The sequence below is a fragment of the Homo sapiens genome, chromosome 5 (assembly GCF_000001405.40).
Source record: "Homo sapiens chromosome 5, GRCh38.p14 Primary Assembly".
Lineage (NCBI taxonomy): Eukaryota > Metazoa > Chordata > Mammalia > Primates > Hominidae > Homo > Homo sapiens.
In genome coordinates, this window is record NC_000005.10 from 78,849,040 (window position 1) to 78,874,015 (window position 24,976).

Consider the following 24,976-nt stretch of genomic DNA (forward strand, 5'->3'; position numbering starts at 1 on the left):
CTTTTGCTGTGCAGAAGCTCTTTAGTTTAATTAGATCCCATTTGTCAGTTTTGGTTTTTGTTGCCATTGCTTTTGGTGTTTTAGACATGAAGTCCTTGCCCATGCCTATGTCCTGAATGGTAATGCCTAGGTTTTCTTCTCGGGTTTTTATGGTTTTAGGTCTAACGTTTAAGTCTTTAATCCATCTTGAATTAATTTTTGTATAAGGTGTAAGGAAGGGATCCAGTTTCAGCTTTCTACATATGGCTAGCCAGTTTTCCCAGCACCATTTATTAAATGGGGAATCCTTTCCCCATTGCTTGTTTTTCTCAGGTTTGTCAAAGATCAGATAGTTGTAGGTAAGCGGCATTATTTCTGAGGGCTCTGTTCTGTTCCATTGATCTATATCTCTGTTTTGGTACCAGTACCATGCTGTTTTGGTTACTGTAGCCTTGTAGTATAGTTTGAAGTCAGGTAGCGTGATGCCTCCAGCTTTGTTCTTTTGGCTTAGGATTGACTTGGCAATGTGGGCTCTTTTTTGGTTCCATATGAACTTTAGTTTTTTCCAATTCTGTGAAGAAAGTCATTGGTAGCTTGATGGGGATGGCATTGAATCTATAAATTACCTTGGGCAGTATGGCCATTTTCACAATATTGATTCTTCCTGTCCATGAGCATGGAATGTTCTTCCATTTGTTTGTATCCTCTTTTATTTCCTTGAGCAGTGGTTTGTAGTTCTCCTTGAAGAGGTCCTTCACATCCCTTGTAAGTTGGATTCCTAGGTATTTTATTCTCTTTGAAGCAATTGTGAATGGGAGTTCACTCATGATTTGGCTCTCTGTTTGTCTGTTATTGGTGTATAAGAATGCTTGTGATTTTTGTACATTGATTTTGCATCCTGAGACTTTGCTGAAGTTGCTTATCAGCTTAAGGAGATTTGGGGCTGAGACGATGGGGTTTTCTAGATATACAATCATGTCATCTGCAAACAGGGACAATTTGACTTCCTCTTTTCCTAATTGAATGCCCTTTATTTCCTTCTCCTGCCTAATTGCCCTGGCCAGAACTTCCAACACTATGTTGAATAGGAGTGGTGAGAGAGGGCATCCCTGTCTTGTGCCAGTTTTCAAAGGGAATGCTTCCAGTTTTTGCCCATTCAGTATATTGGCTGTGGGTTTGTCATAGATAGCTCTTATTATTTTGAGATACGTCCCATCAATACCTAATTTATTGAGAGTTTTTAGCATGAAGTGTTGTTGAGTTTTGTCAAAGGCCTTTTCTGCATCTATTGAGATAATCATGTGGTTTTTGTCTTTGGTTCTGGTTATATGCTGGATTACATTTATTGATTTGCGTATATTGAACCAGCCTTGCATCCCAGGGATGAAGCCCACTTGATCATGGTGGATAAGCTTTTTGATGTGCTGCTGGATTTGGTTTGCCAGTATTTTATTGAGGATTTTTGCATCAATGTTCATCAAGGATATTGGTCTAAAATTCTCTTTTTTGGTTGTGTCTCTGCCTGGCTTTGGTATCAGGATGATGCTGGACTCATAAAATGAGTTAGGGAGGATTCTCTCTTTTTCTATTGATTGGAATAGTTTCAGAAGGAATGGTACCAGTTCCTCCTTGTACCTCTGGTAGAATTTGGTTGTGAATCCAACTGGTCTTGGACTCTTTTTGGTTGGTAAGCTATTGATTATTGTCACAATTTCAGAGCCTGTTATTGGTCTATTCAGAGATTCAACTTCTTCCTGGTTTAGTCTTGGGAGGGTGTACGTATCCAGTAATTTATCCGTTTCTTCTAGATTTTCTAGTTTATTTGCATAGAGGTGTTTGTAGTATTCTCTGATGGTAGTTTGTATTTCTGTGGTATCAGTGGTGATATCCCCTTTATCATTTTTTATTGCGTCTATTTGATTCTTCTCTCTTTTCTTCTTTGTTAGTCTTGCTAGCGGTCTATCAATTTTGTTGATCTTTTCAAAAAACCAGCTCCTGGATTCATTAATTTTTTGAAGGGTTTTTTGTGCCTCTATCTCCTTCAGTTCTGCTCTGATCTTAGTTATTTCTTGCCTTCTGCTAGCTTTTGAATGTGTTTGCTCTTGCTTTTCTAGTTGTTTTAATTGTGATGTTAGGGTGTCAATTTTGGATCTTTCCTGCTTTCTCTTGTGGGCATTCAGTGCTATAAATTTCCCACTACACACTGCTTTGAATGTGTCCCAGAGATTCTGGTATGTTGTGTCTTTGTTCTCGCTGGTTTCAAAGAACATCTTTACTTCTGCCTTCATTTCGTTAAGTACCCAGTAGTCATTCAGGAGTAGGTTGTTCAGTTTCCATGTAGTTGAGCAGTTTTGAGTGAGTTTCTGAATCCTGAGTTCTAGTTTGATTGCACTGTGGTCTGAGAGACAGTTTGTTATAATTTCTGTTCTATTACATTTGCTGAGGAGTGCTTTACTTCCAACTATGTGGTCAATTTTGGAATAGGTGTGGTGTGGTGCTGAAAAAAATGTATATTCTGTTGACTTGGGGTGGAGAGGTCTGTAGATGTCTATTAGGTCCGCTTGGTGCAGAGCTGAGTTCAATTCCTGGGTATCTTTGTTAACTTTCTGTCTCATTGATCTGTTTAATGTTGATAGTGGGGTGTTAAAGTCTCCTATTATTATTGTGTGGGAGTCTAAGTCTCTTTGTAGGTCACTCAGGACTTGCTTTATGCATCTGGGTGCTCCTGTATTGGTTGCATATATATTTAGGATAGTTAGCTCTTCTTGTTGAATTGATCCCTTTACCATTATGTAATGGCCTTCTTTGTCTCTTTTGATCTTTGTTGGTTTAAAGTCTGTTTTATCAGAGACTAGGATTGCAACCCCTGCCTTTTTTTGTTTTCCATTTGCTTGGTAGATCTTCCTCCATCCTTTTATTTTGAGCCTTTGTGTGTCTCTGCACATGAGATGGGTTTCCTGAATACAGCACACTAATGGGTCTTGACTCTTTATCCAATTTGCCAGTCTGTGTCTTTTAATTGGAGCATTTAGCCCATTTACATTTAAAGTTAATATTGTTATGTGTGAATTTGATCTTGTCATTATGATATTAGCTGGTTATTTTGCTCGTTAGTTGATGCAGTTTCTTCCTAGCCTCGATGGTCTTTACAATTTGGCATGATTTTGCAGCGGCTGGTACCGATTGTTCCTTTCCATGTTTAGTGCTTCAGGAGCTCTTTTAGGACAGGCCTGGTGGTGACAAAATCTCTCAGCATTTGCTTGTCTGTATAGTATTTTATTTCTCCTTCACTTATGAAGCTTAGTTTGGCTGGATATGAAATTCTGGGTTGAAAATTCTTTTCTTTAAGAATGTTGAATATTGGCCCCCACTCTCCTCTGGCTTGTAGAGTTTCTGCCAAGAGATCTGCTGTTAGTCTGATGGGCTTCCCTTTGTGGGTAACCCGACCTTTCTCTCTGGCTGCCCTTAACATTTTTTCCTTCATTTCAACTTTGATGAATCTGACAATTATGTGTCTTGGAGTTGCTCTTCTCGAGGAGTATCTTTGTGGCATTTTCTGTATTTCCTGAATCTGAATGTTGGCCTGCCTTGCTAGATTGGGGAAGTTCTCCTGGATAATATCCTGCAGAGTGTTTTCCAACTTGCTTCCATTCTCCCCGTCACTTTCAGGTACACCAATCAGACGTAGATTTGGTCTTTTCACATAGTCCCATATTTCTTGGAGGCTTTGTTCGTTTCTTTTTATTCTTTTTTCTCTAAACTTCCCTTCTCGCTTCATTTCATTCATTTCATCTTCCATCACTGATACCCTTTCTTCCAGTTGATTGCATCAGCTCCTGAGGCTTCTGCATTCTTCATGTAGTTCTCGAGCCTTGGCTTTCAGCTCCATCAGCTCCTTTAAGCACTTCTCTGTATTGGTTATTCTAGTTATACATTCGTCTAAATTTTTTTCAAAGTTTTTAACTTCTTTGCCTTTGGTTTGAATTTCCTCCTGTAGCTCAGAGTAGTTTGATAGTCTGAAGCCTTCTTTTCTCAACTCGTCAAAGTAATTCTCCGTCCAGCTTTGTTCCGTTGCTGGTGTGGAACTGCGTTCCTTTGGAAGAGGAGAGGCGCTCTGTTTTTAGAGTTTCCAGTTTTTCTGCTCTGTTTTTTCCCCATCTTTGTGGCTTTATCTGCTTTTGGTCTTTGATGATGGTGATGTACAGATGGGTTTTTGGTGTGGATGTCCTTTCTGTTTGTTAGTTTTCCTTCTAACAGACAGGACCCTCAGCTGCAGGTCTGTTGGAGTTTGCTAGAGGTCCACTCCAGACCCTGTTTGCCTGGGTATCAGCAGCGGTGGCTGCAGAACAGCGGATTTTCGTGAACCATGAATGCTGCTGTCTGATCATTCCTCTGGAAGTTTTGTCTCAGAGGAATACCCGGCCGTGTGAGGTGTCAGTCTGCCCCTACTGGGGGGTGCCTCCCGGTTAGGTTGCTCGGGGTTCAGGGATCAGGGACCCACTTGAGGAGGCAGTCTGCCCGTTCTCAGATCTCCAGCTGCGTGCTGGGAGAACCACTGCTCTCTTCAAAGCTGTCAGACAGGGATATTTAAGTCTGCAGATGTTACTGATGTCTTTTTGTTTGTCTGTGCCCTGCCCCCAGAGGTGGAGCCTACAGAGGCAGGCAGGCCTCCTTGAGCTGTGGTGGGCTCCACCAAGTTTGAGCTTCCTGGCTGCTTTGTTTACCTAAGCAAGCCTGGGCAATGGTGGGTGCCCCTCCCCCAGCCTCGCTGCCGCCTTGCAGTTTGATCTCAGACTGCTGTGCTAGCAATCAGCGAAACTCTGTGGGCATAGGACCCTCTGAGCCAGGTGCGGGATATAATCTCCTAGTGTGCCGTTTTTTAAGCCCATTGGAAAAGTGCAGTATTAGGGTGGGAGTGACCCAATTTTCCAGGTGCCGTCTGTCACCCCTTTCTTTGACTAGGAAAGGGAACTCCCTGACCCCTTGCACTTCCCGAGTGAGGCAATGCCTCGCCCTGCTTAGGCTTGCGCATGGTGCGCTGCACCCACTGTCCTGTGCCCACTGTCTTGCACTCCCTAGTGAGATGAATCCGGTACCTCAGAGGGAAATGCAGAAATCACCCGTCTTCTGTGTCGCTCACGCTGGGAGCTGTAGACCGGAGCTGTTCCTATTCAGCCATCTTGGCTGCCAGATCTCCGTGAATTTTGTTTATTTCTGCTTTCATCATTATTTCTTTCCTTCTACTAATTTTGGATTTGGCTTGTTCTTGCTTTTCTAGTTTCTTGAGATACATTGCTACGTTGCTGATTGGAAATCCTTCTACTTTTTGGATGTAGGCATCTATTGCTATACATTTTCCTCTTAACACTTCTTTTGCTGTATACCATAGGTTTTTGATATGCTGTATGTCTATTTTCATTTCTTTCAAGACATTTAACATTTTCCTTCTTAATTTCTTTATTGACCCATTGACCATTCAGGAACGTGTTTAACTTCCATTTCCATGTGTTTGTAAAATTTCAAAAGTTCCTCTTGTTATTGATTTCATTGTGGTCAGGAAAGATATTTGAGATCATTGCAGTTTGGTGGTTTTCTGCAGTAACAAGGTTTTCTCTTGTTTCTCTTTCTCCTTTGTGCATCTGCTCTACCAGCGAGTTTTACACTTGTGTGTGTTTTCATGAGAATGATTATCATCTTTTTTCTTCCAGATACAGGACTCCCTTGACTGTTTCTTGTAAAGCCAGTCTAGTGGTGATGAATTCCCTCAGTTTTTACTTGTCTGGGAGACTTTCTTTCTCTCTCATTTCTGAAGGGTAGATTTGCTGGGTATCGCATGCTTAGCTGACAATTTTTTTTTCTTTTGGTACTTTGAATACATCATCCACTTCTCTCCTGGCTTGTCAGGTTTCTGCAGAGAAATATGCTGTACCCTAGAATGGCAGAACACAGCTGTTATTTGGGCCCTGGAAGACAATGTGCAGCACAGCAATGACTCCACTCCCCAGAGTCAAGGGTATCTCAGCAGCTCAGACTTCAGGAGGCTAGTACAGCCCCAGGAAGGAAGGACACTAGAGCTGTTTGGCCTGCAGGATGGGGTGTCTCAGCTCAGCCACTGCTCTGTTTCCCTGGGACACAGGATACCATGTCAGCACAGCCCTGGGATTTGCAGCTATTCAGCTCAGCCAGGGTACAAATTCCCCAGAGGGTGATGTGTCATTTCGGCTTGAGTCCAACAGGTATGACTGCTCTGGGTGGACCAGGCACCATTTCCCTAGGATGCAGCGTGCTGCTTTGACTTAGGCATTGGAGGGGCATGATTTCTCTGAGCAGTCAAAGTACTGTTTTCCCAGGAATCAGGACACTGCTTCAGCTCTGGCCTGAGGAGGAAAGGGTGGTGGGAGGTGGAGCAGCTCCACCTCTGCTTGGCCCCACAGGGGAGCACAAAACAGTTGCTCGACTTGGGGATGTCAGGCCATTGGGCTGGGGCAGTTCAGCAATGGCTTAGCCTCAGGGATAAAAGAGAGCCATGCATACTTGCCCCCAGAGCAAGACACATCCAGCCATAGTTCCAACTCCAAGATGGCATAGCATGGTAGCTATGTGGGCCACAGGGTGTGGATCATAGTATTGGCTCCTTCTCTGGGGGAAGCACGGACATGTGGACTTCAGGCAGCTCCCTCAGCTAGGCTTAGTGTCTGTGAGGATTGCAGGGGACCCCAGTGCTCAGGTCTGTAGGTATCCACGGTGTTGATGGGGCTGCTGGGATCCTTTTGTTTACCTCCTTGCAGTAGGGAAACGTTCCTCCTAGTTCATTCCCAGCTGCTTCCAATTGGGGTTAGGGTAATGGAGGCCTGGCATTTCTTCCCATTCTCTATGTGGCCATCCCAAGTTTCTGTGCTCACCAGGGTATCTGTTACTTCTCTTGTGCACCACTGTGCTCCTCCTCAGTTATTTTTGTTAAAATGAAGTTGTTTATTCATTGTTCTGGCTATCTTTTTGAGGGAGAATAGCACTAGGGTCTTCTAGTCTACCATCTTGCTGATGTCATGCTTCTTCAACTTCATTCTTCTGCATGTGGGTAGCCAGTTATCCCAGCACTATTTTTTTGAAAGGACTATTTTTTCCAATAGTCTTTTCAATAGTTCCAATGGAACTATCTTGGCACCCTTGTCAAAAATGCAATCTGATTTTAACCCACATCTAAGATTAAGAATCACTGCTCTCTGGCCTTGTTATAGAGGTCACCATATGTGATTACATGTTCTAAATTCTTGATTTTGTTCCTATAGAGCAAAAGATGGGTATCTAGCTTTTAGGACACTTAGGTAAGAAGTCCATATATAATGATAATGGCTTCCCCTTGAAAACAAGTCCTGGTTTCCCAGAAAGTATCTTAAGAAATCTGTTGATAACTTTCTATAATCAATATCTTAATATATGCCATATAGGGATATTAGTACCTTGAACACAAAGCTTTATCACAATGACACAATTTCTTCCACAAAGGTGTGTATACCAAAGTGGGTTGGAGAAAAAGTGTATGTTGTATGTTCATAACACAGTTTCAGCAATATCAACTCTTGTGATCACTTGTGATCTTGCAGAATAAACAGTGGCCCTATCAGAACCATAAAATGGTTGTGGGGTTGATTATTGCTATACTATAATCATGTGTTAGCTTCTATCTTCTCTATGTCTCTCTCTACACACACACACATATATGCATGTATTCATTTTTAGGTAATGCTACAAATACTATAGTATTCCAGGACATCATACAGTTCCAAAGTTTCATTTCCATACAATCATCAGAAAATGAACTTTCCTCCTGACCAATTTCTGAAGACATCACTCTCTCATAAGAAGTATAGCATTGTCTTTGGGAGCAAAGCCTTTCAGGGTGTGCATCCCAACTCCAGAAATTACTGGCTATATAAACTTGGGTGTTGTTTTTCTCATCAGCAGAATCTAGATAAAAGTACCTATCTTACAGAGTTGTTATGAGAATTGCATGAGGCAACAAAAGCCCTTTTATTGTAAAATATAGATCCAGATTCTGCAGACATGGAAATAATATAACCTCAAAGACTATAACCTGGGACACAGACACAAGAATAATATGAAGATAAAATGAAACATTAATATTCCTACCTATTCTTCTTGCTGGCAAGTGCTCCCTTTATGAAACACACTGGGGTAGATGTAATTTTAATTTCTAAGACATTTTATGATGTTCTCTCCAATATGAGAGTCTCTTTTTGGAAAAATATCAGTGTCAATATAGTCAAGTCACACAGTCTACTCATTATAGACTGTATATTAAAAAATACATATTGCAATCTGTTATCTAGGTATTTTCCTTATTTTTTGGTTTTGGTAGATGCTATAGTTTAGCTGCATGAGCTATACTGTCTTTATCAGATTGTTGATTTTATTTGTGAAATAAAAATCTCTAAATAATGACTGACGGTGTTAATGATAAACGGGTTTTCAATAATCACACAAGTTCATGAAATGTCCTGGTTTTACGTGAATCAAGGTAATGGGTGTTTTTATTACAGCAAATACTTGGGCTCCAGGCTTATAGGAACAAAGCAGAGCTCTCTAATTAGCTTCTTTAAGGTAGGCACCCATGGGACAGTTCAAGGATTGCCACCGTACAATGTTTACCCCCATCCCAGCACATATTATTGGCTATGGCAGTAAGTAGACAAAGACCTATGTAAAGAAAATAACAGAACTATCTTGTTTGCCATTTGCCACTTAGTGATGAAGACCTACCTCTAAACCGGTGAAGTTGGCAAGTTTTACCCATGCCTATAACAACCAAACTAGTTATTTTGGGGTTTCATTTGTTTTGGCTAGGCTAGTTTGGATAACAGTAGCTTGCACTGATAGAACATTTTTTATGTGCAACACACCATTTAAAATACTTTACACGTATCATTTCATTCAACCTTCAACACTGTGAGGTAGAGACAAGCTTGGCATGGCATGGTTAAGTGACTTACACAATCATGTGGTTGAGCAGGTGACAGGACTGGGTTTGGAGCTCAGGCAGACTGACCCCCAAATCCCATCTCTAACCTTCTATGCTAAATTCTCTGCTCAGTAAGATGTACACATGGCCTCAGTGTCTCCTTGAATGTATGGTGTTTCCATTCATTTGGTTTATTTTTAAGGCTCCATAAACAAATATCTCTATTAACTGCAAATGCTTCTATTAATAAAAGTTAAACATTTTTCTTCACCCTCTTCTCTTGAAAACTTATAAAGTAGTATATCATTGTCTCTGATGATATTTTCAGTATTCTGTTTGAATTTACCCCAAATTTCACATTTGCTAGAGTATTTTTATTTACAAAAACAGGGCAAGGAGACAGCCACTGACCAGTGACCAGTTTCCAATATGCTATAAATATTTTCTAAAAGTCTACAGTTTCAGACACTGAGATCACAGCACTGTCCATTTATAAATAGTTTCCAGTTTTTGATTTTCATTTTCCTATTAGTTGAAGGGTGGGGCAACAAAACATTTCCCATAAATAAATGAAATGGTATTACATTCCATACTTCTTTTACCACTAACTGCTGACCATCTGTCATAAAAGACACACCCTGAAAGGCAGTATCAAATTTTTAGAAATAGCAATGACAATACTTTCTGAGAAGAAATTTTGAAGAAAAAAAATAACCCCAGTTACTAATGAAAACATTGACCAACACATCCACAGGGTAATGTCCGACCTGTTAACCCTTTGGAAGCACCATCATCCTTGTTATCATCTTCACTACCAGCTACCGAGTTCTTACAATGTTCCAGGCATGGTGCTAAATGTTTCAAACACACTCTCTCACTAAATCCTCACATAGGTGTCTACAGGATAGGTTGTTATTTGTTACATTTGTTACAGACAAATGTAACTATTATTACATTTTACACAAGGAAATCAATGCTTAAAGATTGCACAAGTAATTAATGGAGGAGACAGGATTTAAACCAGATCTAATCAAAAAGTACCGATTTTTAACCACTATCCCGGTGAAACTCCTTACAGGACTTATTTCCTTTGTTAAGGGTGTGTGTGTATGGGGGGCAGGTGATATTTGGTTTGTGTAAATCCCATGCTTCCTGAAAAGCCATTTCAACATGCAAATATTACCATAAATTAAGAGTATAGGCACGGAAATTAGAAAATGTTGATGAAATTCAGTGAGGAAATATGTAAGTTGAATTCACTGGGTCTAGAGTTATATATGGAAAGATATTTTTCATATAGATTGTTATTAAGAAGGTTTATTAAGTTTTTTAAGTAGTCTAGAGAAAAAAGTAATCAAAAATCACTGAATCATACCCTTAATATAATCTTTTCCTATTCATTACTAAAAAATAATTGGTAGGACTTCTGGGTTAATTCAGGATAAACTTCAGGGACTAATATGCCTTTCTTCCAATTTCCATTTTAATATCCACGAAGAATTACAAAAAGATGAAAACTGGCAACAGCGTTGGAAACTAAAGAGAAGACCATATGCCAAAGTCCCAAGGGGATTTTCACTAATGCCAATGCTGAAGAGACGAACAACACATTCTTGGATTCTGCCATAAGAATCAAAACATGATCCCAAAGAAAGTAGAAGAAGATGGATTTGCTTTGCCTCCATCGAATGATGGGACTCAGGGGCTATGCTAAACAAACAAAAAAAAAAGAGTGATGATCTTCCATGAACTGTCCTTAGAGAGGCACCATTGTGCCTCCTCTCACCCCGAATGCTGGCTGCTTTCCTCTCTATGTCCACCCCCACAGCAAGCAGCAGACTAACATGGAAGAGATCAGGCATGAGATGTAGCTTCCTGGAACATGGAACCACCTAACAAAACAATCTGAAACAACCTCAGAACACTCCATACTGTGAGTGTAGGATAGAAGCCCTTTTATCCAAAAGGTTGGGAAATTAGGGAATCAAATAATATAGCATTCCTTAAACATTTAGTTTGAACTTAAAAACATAGATACTTCCAACTATGTTGTCAATTTTGGAATAAGTGCAACGTGGTGCTGAGAAGAATGTATATTCTGTTGATTTGGGGTGCAGAGTTCTGTAGATGTCTATTAGGTCCGCTTGGTCCAGAGCTGAGTTCAAGTCCTGGATATCTTTGTTAACTTTCTGTCTCGTTGATCTGTCTAATGTTGACAGTGGGGTGTTAAAGTCTCCCATTATTATTGTGTGGGAGTCTAAGTCTCTTTGTAGGTCTCTAAGGACTTGCTTTATGAATCTGGGTGCTCCTGTATTGGGTGCATATATATTTAGGATAGCTAGCTCTTCTTGCTGAATTGAAGTAAAGCACTCCTCAGCAAATGTAATAGAACAGAAATTATAACAAACTGTCTTTCAGACCACAGTGCAATTAAATTAGAACTCAGGATTAAGAAACTCACTCAAAACTGCACTACTACATGGAAACTGAACAACCTAATCCTGAAGGACTACTGCATAAATAATGAAATGAAGGCAGAAATAAAGATGTTCTTTGAAACCAATGAGAGCAAAGACACAACATACCAGAACCTCTGGGACACATTTAAAGCACTGTGTAGAGGGAAATCTATAGCACTAAATGCCCACAAGAGAAAGCAGGAAAGATCTAAAACTTGACACCCTAACATCACAATTAAAAGAACTAAAGAAGCAAGAGCAAACACATTCAAAAGCTAGCAGAAGGCAAGAAATAACTAACAGCAGAGCAGAACTGAAGGAGATGGAGACACAAAAACCCTTCAAAAAAATCAATGAATCCAGGAGCTGGTTTTCTGAAAAGATCAACAAAATTGATAGACCACTAGCAAGACTAATAAAGAAGAAAAGAGAGAAGAATCAAATAGACACAATAAAAAATGATAAAGGGTATATCAGCACCAATCCCACAGAAATACAAACTACCGTCAGAGAATACTACAAACACCTCTATGCAAATAAACTAGAAAATCTAGAAGAAATGGATAAATTCCTCGACACACACACCCTCCCAAGACTAAACCAGGAAGAAGCTGAATCCTGAATAGACCAATAACAGGCTCTGAAATTGAGGCAATAAATTAATAGCCTACCAACCAAAAACAGTCCAGGACCAGACGGATTCACAGCCGAATTCTACCAGAGGTACAAAGAGGAGCTGGTACCATTGCTTCTGAAACTATTCCAATCAACAGAAAAAGAGGGAATCCTCCCTAACTCATTTTATGAGGCCAGCATCATCCTGATACCAAAGCCTGGCAGAGACACAACAAAAAAAGAGAATTTTAGACCAATATCCCTGATGAACATCGATGCAAAAATCCTCAATAAAATACTGGCAAACCGAATCCAGCAGCACATCAAAAAGCTTATCCACCAAGATCAAGTTGGCTTCATCCCTGGGATGCATGGCTGGTTCAACATATGCAAATCAATGAACGTAATCCATCATATAAACAGAACCAAACACAAAAACTGTATGATTATCTCAATAGATGCACAAAAGGCCTTCGACAAAATTCAACAATGCTTCATGCTAAAAACTCTCAGGAAACTAGGTATTGATGGGACATATCTAAAAACAATAAGAGCTATCTATGACAAACCCACAGCCAATATCATACTGAATGGGCAAAAACTGGAAGCATTCCCTTTGAAAACTGGCACAAGACAGGGATGCCCTCTTTCACCACTCCTATTCAATATAATGTTGGAAATTCTGGTCAGGGCAATCAGGCAAGAGAAAGAAATAAAGGGCATTCAATTAGGAAAAGAGGAAGTCAAATTGTCCCTGTTTGCACATGACATGATTGTATATCTAGAAAACCCCATCATCTCAGCCCAAAATCTCCTTAAGCTGATAAGCAACTTCAACAAAGTGTCTCAAGATACAAAATCAATGTGCAAAAATCACAAGCATTCCTATACACAAATAACAGACAAACAGAGAACCAAATCACAACTGAACTCCCATTCACAATTGCTTCAAAGAGAATAAAATACCTAGGAATCCAACTTACAAGGGATGTGAAGGACCTCTTCAAGGAGAACTACAAACCACTGCTCAACGAAATAAAAGAGGACACAAACAAATGGGAGAACATTCCATGCTCATGGATAGGAAGAATCAATATAGTGAAAATGGCCATACTGCCCGAGGTAATTTATACATTCAGTGCCATCCCCATCAAGCTACCAATGACTTTCTTCACAGAATTGGAAAAAACTACTTTAAAGTTCAGATGGAAGCAAAAAAAGCCCGCGTTGCCAAGACAATCCTAAGCCAAAAGAACAAAGCTGGAGGCATCACGCTACCTGACTTCAAACTATACTACAAGGCTACAGTAACCAAAACAGCATGGTACTGGTACCAAAACAGAGATATAGACCAATGGAACAGAACAGAGCCCTCAGAAATACAACCTTCTGATCTTTGACAAACCTGACAAAAACAAGAAATAAGGAAAGTATTCCCTATTTAATACATGGTGCTGGGAAAACTGGCTAGCCATATGTAGAAAGCTGAAACTGGATCCCTTCCTTACACCTTATACAAAAATTAATTCAAGATGGATTAAAGACTTAAATGTTTGACCTAAAACCATAGAAACCCTAGAAGAAAAAAACCTAGGCATTACCATTCAGGACATAGGCATGGGCAAGGACTTCACGTCTAAAACACCAAAAGCAATGGCAACAAAAGCCAAAATAGACAAATGGGATCTAATTAAACTAAAGAGCTTCTGCACAGCAAAAAGAAACTACCATCAAAGTGAACAGGCAACCTACAGAATGGGAGAAAATTTTTACAATTTACCCATGTAACAAAGGGCTAATATCCAGAATCTACAAAGAACTTAAACAAATTTATAGGAAAAAATCAAGTAACCCCATCAAAAGGTGGGCAAAGGATATGAACAGACACTTCTCAAAAGAAGACATTTATGCAGCCAACAGACGCATGAAAAAAATGCTCATCATCACTGGTCATCAGAGAAATGCAAATCAAAACCACAATGAGATACTATCTCACATTAGTTAGAATGGCGATCATTAAAAAGTCAGGAAACAACAGGTGCTGGAGAGGATGTGGAGAAATGGGAAGGCTTTTACATTGCTGGTGGGAGTGTAAACTAGTTCAACCATTGTGGAAGACAGTGTGGCGATTCCTCAAGGATCTAGAACTAGAAAAATCGTTTGACCCAGTGATCCCATTACTGGGTATATACCCAAAGGATTATAAATCATGCTACTATAAAGACACATGCACACGTATGTTTATTGCAGCACTATTCACAATAGCGAAGACTTGGAATCAACTCACATGTCCATCAATGATAGACTGGATTAAGAAAACATGGCACATATACACCATGGAATACTGTACAGCCATAAAAAAGGACGAGTTCATGTCCTTTGTAGGGACATGGATGAAGCTGAAAACCATCACTCTGAGCAAACTATAGCAAGGACAGAAAACCAAACACTGCATGTTCTCACTCATAGGTGGGAATTGAACAATGAGGACACTTGGACACGGGGCGGGGAACATCACACACTGGGGCCTGTTGTGGGGTGGGGGGTGGGGGTAGGGATGGCATTAAGAGAAATACCTATTGTAAATGATGTGTTAATGGGTGCAGGACACCAACATGGCACATGTATACATATGTAACAAACCTGCACATTGTGCACATGTACCCTAGAACTTAAAGTATAATAATAATAAAAAAAAATAGATAGTCACTTCATAGTCTTTGCATGCAGGGCTACTGATTGTTGTTCCTATCATCTTTATTTCATAAACCATATCTATAATGTTTTATCTATAGTTTCTAGTGCTGTTTTTCTTAAAGTGGAATAAGAACCTAAGAACATGTGAATTTTTAGATTTTCATAGAATAATGGTGGCCATCTAAATTTAAAATCCCTTCATACATTCTCTTTAAAAACCATATTGATAAAGAAAGAAAGTAATATCAACCAAAGCAGAAGCCTATGACACAAGCAGGAGACAAGGCCTATTTAAACCCTGGGTGAAGTGAGGAAACAACCCTCTGAGACCTGAAGAGTCAGGACTGGTACCCACCCAAGGGCAGAGTCAGGCTAGAATTATGCAAAAGAGGGTTAGGGGGTACAAGAGGAGTGTATTAGTCCGTTTTCATGCTGCTGATAAAGACATCCCCAAGACTGGACAATTTACAAAAGAAAGAGGATTAATTGGACTACAGTTACACATGGCTGGCGAAGCCTCACAATCATGGTGGAAGGCAAGGAGGAGCAAGTCCCATCTTACATGGATGGCAGCAGGCAAAGAGAGAATGAGGAAGATGCAAAAGGAGAAACCCCTGACAAAACCATCAGATCTCATGAGACTTATTCACTACCACGAGAACAGTATGGAGGAAACTGCCCCCATGATTCAATTATCTGCCACCGGGTCCCTCCCATGACACATGAGAATTATGGGAGTACAGTTCCAGATGAGATCTGGTGGGGACACAGAGCCAAACCATATCATTCCACCCCTGGCCCCTCCCAAATCTCATGTCCTCCCATTTCAAAACCAATCATGCCTTCCCAACAGTCCCCCAAAGTCTTAACTTGTTTCAGCATTAACTCAAAAGTCCACATTCCAAAGTCTCATCTGAGACAAGGCAAGTCCCTTATGCCTATGAGCCTGTAAAATCAAAAGCAAGCTAGTTATTTCCTAAATACAAGGGGGATACAGACATTGGGTAAATCCGACCATTCCAAATGGGAGAAATTGGCCAAAACAAAGTGGCTACAGGGCCCATGCAAGTCCAAAATCCAGTGGGGCAGTCAAATCTTAAAGCTCCAGAAATGATCTCAAACTCCATGTCTCACATCCAGGTCACGCTGATGCAAGAGGTGGGTTCCCATGGTCTTGGGCAGCTCTGCCCCTGTGGCTTTGCAGGGTACAACCTCCCTCCTGGCTGCTTTCATGGGCTGGCATTGAGTGTCTGTGGCTTTTCCAGGTGCATGGTGCAAGCTGTCGTGGGTCTATCATTCTGGGGTCTGGAGGATAGTGGCCCTCTTCTCACAGCTCCACTAGGACTCCGTATAGGGGTTCTGGCCCCACATTTCCCTTCCATCCTGCCCTAGCAGAGGTTCTCCGTGAGTATCCCACCCCTGCAGCAAACTCTTGCCTGGGCATCCAGGCATTTCCACACATCTTCTGAAATATAGGCAGAGGTTCCCAAACCCCAATTCTCAACTTCTGTGCACTGGCAGGCTCAACACCACGTGGAAGCTGCCAAGGCTTGGGGCTTACACCCTCTGAAACCATGGCCCAAGCTCTACATTGGCCCCTTTTGGCCATGGCTGGAGTGGCTGGGACACAGGGCACCAAATCCCTAGGCTGTACACAGCACAGGGACCCTAGGCCTGGCCCCTGAAACCACTTTTTGCTCCTAGGCCTCCAGTCCTGTTATAGGAGGGGCTGCCATGAAGACCTCTGACACGCCCTGGAGACATTTTTCCCATTGTCTTGAGAATCAACATTTGGCTCCTGATTACTTATGCAAATTTCCACAGCCTGCTTGAATTTCTACTCAGAAAATGGAATTTTCTTTTCTATCACATTGTCAGGCTGCAAATTATTCAAACTTTTATGCTCTGCTTCCCTTATAAAACTGAATGCCTTTAACAGAACCCAAATAACCTCTTGAATGCTTTGCTGCTTAGAAATTTCCTCTGCCAGATACCCTAAATCATCTCTCTCAAATTCAAAGTTCCACAAATCTCTAGGGCAGGGGCAAAATGTCACCAATCTCTTTGTTAAAACATAGCAAGAGTCACCTTTGCTCCAGTTCCCAACAAGTGCCTCATCTCCATCCAAGACCACCTCAGCCTGGATTTCATTGTCCATATTGCTATCAGCATTTTGGGTAAAGCCATTCAACAAATCTCTAGGAGGTTCCAAACTTTCCCACATTTTCCTGTCTTCTTCTGAGCCCTCCAAACTGTTCCAACCTCTGCCTATTACCCAGTTCCAAAGTGGCTTCCACATTTTCAGGTATCTTTTCATCAGTGCCCCACTCTACTGGGCCAATTTACTGTATTACTCTGTTTTCATGCTGCTGATAAAGACATACCCAAGACTGGGTAATTTACCAAAGAAAGAGGTTTATTTGGACTTACAGTTTCACTTGGCTGGGGAGGCCTCACAGTCATGGTGGAAGGCAAGGAGGAGCCAGTCACGTTTTACATGAATGGCAGCAGGCAAAACGAGAGCTTGCACAGGGAAATTTCCCCTTATATTACCATCAGATCTTGTGAGCCCTATTCACTATCATGAGAACAGCATAGGAAAGACCTGCCCCATGATTCAATTACCTCCCACTGGGTCCCTGCCACAACACATGGGAATTCAAGATGAGATTTGGGTGGGGACACAGCCAAACCATATCAAGGGGAAAGGACTCAAATAACGTCTGATAAGATAAACTCCAGAAAGAGAAGGTCACACCCAAGGGACAAAATGTTGATAGAGGTCTCATACCTGACAGATCAAAGCACTGGCTAGTGGGGAGTCAAAAGGGAGTCCAAGGAAGTAGCTTGGATAAGGAAGTGTGCAGGACGAGAGTGGCTGCCTTGGGCAGCTGAGATGCTGAGAGAGGAGCAGCTGAAGAACAAGTGTCCTTTGGAAGATGGATGGTAAAGGGAAGGAAGGACATGGCCAAAGATCAGGGTTCCATTATAATAACACAGTGTCAGAGAATCATGAGAAGGCAGACCAAAAAGAAAGGGGCTGAGCCAAGATGGCCGAATAGGGACAGTTCCGGTCTACGGCTCCCAGCATGAGCGACGCAGAAGACGGGTGATTTCTGCATTTCCATCTGAGGTACCGGGTTCATCTCACCAGGGAGTGCAAGACAGTGGGCGCAGGCCAGTGGGTGCGCACACCGTGCGCGAGCCAAAGCAGGGCGAGGCATTGCCTCACCTGGGAAGCGCAAGGGGTCAGGGAGTTCCCTTTCCGAGTCAAAGAAAGGGGTGACAGACGCACCTGGAAAATCGGGTCACTCCCACCCGAATATTGCGCTTTTCAGACTGGCTTAAAAAACGGCGTACCACGAGACTATATCCCACACCTGGCTCGGAGGGTCCTACACCCACGGAATCTCGCTGATTGCTAGCACAGCAGTCTGAGATCAAACTGCAAGGCGGCAGCGAGGCTGGGGGAGAGGCGCCCGCCATTGCCCAGGCTTGCTTAGGTAAACAAAGCAGCCGGGAAGCTCGAACTGGGTGGAGCCCACCACAGCTCAAGGAGGCCTGCCTGCCTCTGTAGGCTCCACCTCTGGGGGCAGGGCACAGACAAACAAAAAGACAGCAGTAACCTCTGCAGACTTAAATGTCCCTGTCTGACAGCCTTGAAGAGAGCAGTGGTTCTCCCAGCACGCAGCTGGAGATCTGAGAACGGGTAGACTGCCTCCACAAGTGGGTCCCTGACCCCTGACCCCCGAGCAGCCTAACTGGGAGGCACCCCCCAGCAGGGGCACACTGACACCTCACACGGCAGGGTATTCCAACAGACCTGCAGCTGAGGGTCCTGTCTGTTAGAAGGAAAACTCACAAACAGAAAGGACACCGAAAACCCATCTGTACATCACCATCATCAAAGACCAAAAGTAGATAAAACCACAAAGGTGGGGAAAAAACAGAACAGAAAAACTGGGAACTCTAAAACGCAGAGCGCCTCTCCTCCTCCAAAGGAACGCAGTTCCTCACCAGCAATGGAACAAAGCTGGATGGAGAATGATTTTGACGAGCTGAGAGAAGAAGGCTTCAGACGATCAAATTACTCTGAGCTACGGGAGGACATTCAAACCAAAGGCAAAGAAGTTGAAAACTTTGAAAAAAATTTAGAAGAATGTATAACTAGAATAACCAATACAGAGAAGTGCTTAAAGGAGCTGATGGAGCTGAAAACCAAGGCTCGAGAACTACGTGAAGAATGCAGAAGCCTCAGGAGCCGATGCGATCAACTGGAAGAAAGGGTATCAGCAATGGAAGATGAAATGAATGAAATGAAGCAAGAAGGGACGTTTAGAGAAAAAAGAATAAAAAGAAATGAGCAAAGCCTCCAAGAAATATGGGACTATGTGAAAAGACCAAATCTACGTCTGATTGGTGTACCTGAAAGTGATGCGGAGAATGGAACCAAGTTGGCAAACACTCTGCAGGATATTATCCAGGAGAACTTCCCCAATCTAGCAAGGCAGGCCAACGTTCAGATTCAGGAAATACAGAGAACGCCACAAAGATACTCCTCGAGAAGAGCAACTCCAAGACACATAATTGTCAGATTCACCAAAGTTGAAATGAAGGAAAAAATGTTAAGGGCAGCCAGAGAGAAAGGTCGGGTTACCCTCAAAGGGAAGCCCATCAGACTAACAGTGGATCTCTTGGCAGAAACCCTACAAGCCAGAGGAGAGTGGGGGCCAATATTCAACATTCTTAAAGAAAAGAATTTTCAACCCAGAATTTCATATCCAGCCAAACTAAGCTTCATAAGTGAAGGAGAAATAAAATACTTTACAGACAAGCAAATGCTGACCGATTTTGTCACCACCAGGCCTGCCCTAAAAGAGCTCCTGAAGGAAGCACTAAACATGGAAAGGAACAACCGGTACCAGCCGCTGCAAAATCATGCCAAAATGTAAAGACCATCGAGACTAGGAAGAAACTGCATCAACTAACGAGCAAAATCACCAGCTAACATCATAATGACAGGATCAAATTCACACATAACAATATTAACTTTAAATGTAAATGGACTAAATGCTACAATTAAAAGACACAGACTGGCAAGTTGGATAAAGAGTCAAGACCCATCAGTGTGCTGTATTCAGGAAACCCATCTCACGTGCAGAGACACACATAGGCTCAAAATGAAAGGAAGGAGGAAGATCTACCAAGCAAATGGAAAACAAAAAAAGGCAGGGGTTGCAATCCTAGTCTCTGATAAAACAGACTTTAAACCAACAAAGATCAAAAGAGACAAAGAAGGCCATTACATACTGGTAAAGGGATCAATTCAACAAGAAGAGCTAACTATCCTAAATATATATGCACCCAATACAGGAGCACCCAGATTCATAAAGCAAGTCCTGAGTGACCTACAAAGAGACTTAGACTCCCACACATTAATAATGGGAGACTTCAATACCCCACTGTCAACATTAGACAGATCAACGAGACAGAAAGTCAACAAGGATACCCAGGAATTGAACTCAGCTCTGCACCAAGCGGACCTAATAGACATCTACAGAACTCTCCACCCCAAGTCAACAGAATATACATTTTTTTCAGCACCACACCACACCTATTCCAAAATTGACCACATAGTTGGAAGTAAAGCTCTCCTCAGCAAATGTAAAAGAACAGAAATTATAACAAACTATCTCTCAGACCACAGTGCAATCAAACTAGAACTCAGGATTAAGAATCTCACTCAAAGCCGCTCAACTACATGGAAACTGAACAACCTGCTCCTGAATGACTACTGGGTACATAACGAAATGAAGGCAGAAGTAAAGATGTTCTTTGAAACCAGCGAGAACAAAGACACAACATACCAGAATCTCTGGGACGCATTCAAAGCAGTGTGTAGAGGGAAATTTATAGCACTAAATGCCCACAAGAGAAAGCAGGAAAGATCCAAAATTGACACCCTAACATCACAATTAAAACAACTAGAAAAGCAAGAGCAAACACATTCAAAAGCTAGCAGAAGGCAAGAAATAACTAAAATCAGAGCAGAACTGAAGGAAATAGAGACACAAAAAACCCTTCAAAAAATCAATGAATCCAGGAGCTGGTTTTTTGAAAGGATCAACAAAATTGATAGACCGCTAGCAAGACTAACAAAGAAGAAAAGAGAGAAGAATCAAATAGACACAATAAAAAATGATAAAGGGGATATCACCACCGATCCCACAGAAATACAAACTACCATCAGAGAATACTACAAACACCTCTACGCAAATAAACTAGAAAATCTAGAAGAAATGGATACATTCCTCGACACATACACTCTCCCAAGACTAAACCAGGAAGAAGTTGAATCTCTGAATAGACCAATAACAGGAGCTGAAATTGTGGCAATAATCAATATTTTACCAACCAAAAAGAGTCCAGGACCAGAAGGATTCACAGCCGAATTCTACCAGAGGTACAAGGAGGAACTGGTACCATTCTTTCTGAAACTATTCCAATCAATAGAAAAAGAGAGAATCCTCCCTAACTCATTTTATGAGTCCAGCATCATCCTGATACCAAAGCCAGGCAGAGACACAACCAAAAAAGAGAATTTTAGACCAATATCCTTGATGAACATTGATGCAAAAATCCTCAATAAAATACTGGCAAACCAAATCCAGCAGCACATCAAAAAGCTTATCCACCATGATCAAGTGGGCTTCATCCCTGGGATGCAAGGCTGCTTCAATATACGCAAATCAATAAATGTAATCCAGCATATAAACAGAGCCAAAGACAAAAACCACATGATTATCTCAATAGATGCAGAAAAAGCCTTTGACAAAATTCAACAACACTTCATGTTAAAAACTCTCAATAAATTAGGTATTGATGGGACGTATTTCAAAATAATAAGAGCTATCTATGACAAACCCACAGCCAATATCATACTGAATGGGCAAAAACTGGAAGCATTCCCTTTGAAAACTGGCACAAGACAGGGATGCCCTCTCTCACCACTCCTATTCAACATAGTGTTGGAAGTTCTGGCCAGGGCAATTAGGCAGGGGAAGGAAATAAAGGGTATTCAATTAGGAAAAGAGGAAGTCAAATTGTCCCTGTTTGCAGATTACATGATTGTTTATCTAGAAAACCCCATTGTCTCAGCCCCAAATCTCCTTAAGCTGATAAGCAACTTCAGCAAAGTCTCAGGATACAAAATCAATATACAAAAATCACAAGCATTCCTATACACCAACAACAGACAAACAGAGAGCCAAATCATGAGTGAACTCCCATTCACAATTGCTTCAAAGAGAATAAAATACCTAGGAATCCAACTTACAAGGGATGTGAAGGACCTCTTCAAGGAGAACTACAAACCACTGCTCAAGGAAATAAAAGAGGATACAAACAAATGGAAGAACATTCCATGCTCATGGGTAGGAAGAATCAATATCGTGAAAATGGCCATACTGCCCAAGGTAATTTACAGGTTCAATGCCAACCCCATCAAGCTACCAATGACTTTCTTCACAGAATTGGAAAAAACTACTTTCAAGTTCATATGGAACCAAAAAAGAGCCCTCATTGCCAAGTCAATCCTAAGCCAAAAGAACAAAGCTGGAGGCATCACACTACCTGACTTCAAACTATACTACAAGGCTTCAGTAACCAAAACAGCATGGTACTGGTACCAAAACAGAGATATAGATCAATGGAACAGAACAGAGCCCTCAGAAATAACGCCGCTTACCTACAACTATCTGATCTTTGACAAACCTGAGAAAAACAAGCTATGGGGAAAGGATTCCCTATTTAATAAATGGTGCTGGGAAAACTGGCTAGCCATATGTAGAAAGCTGAAACTGGATCCCTTCCTTACACCTTATACAAAAATCAATTCAAGATGGATTAAAGATTTAAACGTTAGACCTAAAACCATAAAAACCCTAGAAGAAAACCTAGGCATTACCATTCAGGACATAGGCGTGGGCAAGGACTTCATGTCCAAAACACCAAAAGCAATGGCAACAAAAGCCAAAATTGACAAATGGGATCTAATTAAACTAAAGAGCTTCTGCACAGCAAAGGAAACTACCATCAGAGTGAACAGGCAACCTACAAAATGGGAGAAAATTTTCGCAACCTACTCATCTGACAAAGGGCTAATATCCAGAATCTACAATGAACTCAAACAAATTACAAGAAAAAAACAAACAACCCCATCAAAAAGCGGGCGAAGGACATGAACAGACACTTCTCAAAAGAAGACATTTATGCAGCCAAAAAACACATGAAAAAATGCTCACCATCACTGGCCATCAGAGAAATGCAAATCAAAACCACTATGAGATATCATCTCACACCAGTTAGAACGGTAATCATTAAAAAGTCAGGAAACAACAGGTGCTGGAGAGGATGTGGAGAAACAGGAACACTTTTACACTGTTGGTGGGACTGTAAACTAGTTCAACCATTGTGGAAGTCAGTGTGGCGATTCCTCAGGGATCCAGAACTAGAAATACCATTTGACCCAGCCATCCCATTACTGGGCATATACCCAAATGACTATAAATCATGCTGCTATAAAGACACATGCACACGTATGTTTATTGTGGCATTATTCACAATAGCAAAGACTTGGAACCAACCCAAATGTCCAACAATGATAGACTGGATTAAGAAAATGTGGCACATATACACCATGGAATACTATGCAGCCATAAAAAATGATGAGTTCATGTCCTTTGTAGGGACATGGATGAAATTGGAAACCATCATTCTCAGTAAACTATCGCAAGAACAAAAAACCAAACACCGCATATTCTCACTCATAGGTGGGAATTGAACAATGAGATCACATGGACACAGGAAGGGGAATATCACACCCTGGGGACTGTGGTGGGGAGGGGGAGGGGGGAGGGATAGCATTGGGAGATATACCTAATGCTAGATGACGAGTTAGTGGGTGCAGCGTACCAGCATGGCACATGTATACATATGTAACTAACCTGCACAATGTGCACATGTACCCTAAAACTTAAAGTATAATTAAAAAAAAAAAAAAAAAGAAAGGGGCTACATTTAGCAAAGAAACTGCACTTCACTATAGCAATACACAGCGCTCTTGAAGCACCTGAAGTAAATGAAAGTGTCCAAATCCCACTCCTACGGATTGCCTGCTATCTTAGATCCAGGAAACGCCAACATACATAAACGTGAACAAAACCAAAAAGAACTCAGCATCTATGCAAAGTTACCATACGAGTTAAAAAAAATAGAAAATGAGAATTCAAAAATTTGGCAAATGAAAACATTCTCCTACTATGGAAAAACAGTCATAAGGCAGAAGAAAACCATTACAGGATATTTCAACATGAATTAAATATAATGAAATCATCAACTGCCAATATTAAAGAAACAACAACCATGATTCAGAAATTGTAAAACTCAGACATCACACTTTTTAAAGGAAGGGAACTGGGAAAAAAAGGACAAAATCTTAGAAATGACAAAACATTATACATGACATTCTCTATGTGAAAGCGTGTAGAGAATAGAAATTAAAAGAGAAAGGATAATTAATTCAAAATAAAGAAAAAATAAAGAGGCAAAGAGGATACGAGAGAAATTGACAGAAACCAAATTTATGTAAAGAAGATTCAATAATACCTATAACTAGGAGTTCCTGAAGAAGAAAAACAAAACAGTAGAATATAATATTTAAAACTGTAATTTTTTTTTTTTTTTGAGACGGAGTCTCGCTCTGTCGCCCAGGCTGGAGTGCAGTGGCGGGATCTCGGCTCACTGCAAGCTCCGCCTCCCGGGTTCACGCCATTCTCCTGCCTCAGCCTCCCAAGGAGCTGGGACTACAGGCGCCCGCCACTACGCCCGGCTAATTTTTTGTATTTTTAGTAGAGACGGGGTTTCACCGTTTTAGCCGGGATGGTCTCGATCTCCTGACCTTGTGATCCGCCCGCCTCGGCCTCCCAAAGTGCTGGGATTACAGGCGTGAGCCACCGCACCCGGCCTAAAACTGTAATTTTTAAAAACTCTGAAATAAAAGAAGATCTGAATATACAAAGTGAAATAACTCACTTTTATCTGAGAAAACTGACACAGTAGGGTCACCTTTGTGACACATCTGGAAAAATTCTTAGATTTTAAATCATAACTATAATAATAGTGATAATAAAAAATCTTCTGGGTGCCCAGACAAAAAACACAAAGTCACTTGCAAAGGAATAAAATC

At 41.3% G+C, this 24,976-nt stretch overlaps 1 protein-coding gene across 8 annotated transcripts in view; it reads right to left on the reverse strand.

Moving 5' to 3' along the window:
- ARSB (arylsulfatase B) overlaps positions 1–24,976 on the reverse strand; it is a 208,750-nt gene that overhangs the window by 71,831 nt on the left and 111,943 nt on the right. The window lies entirely within an intron of this gene.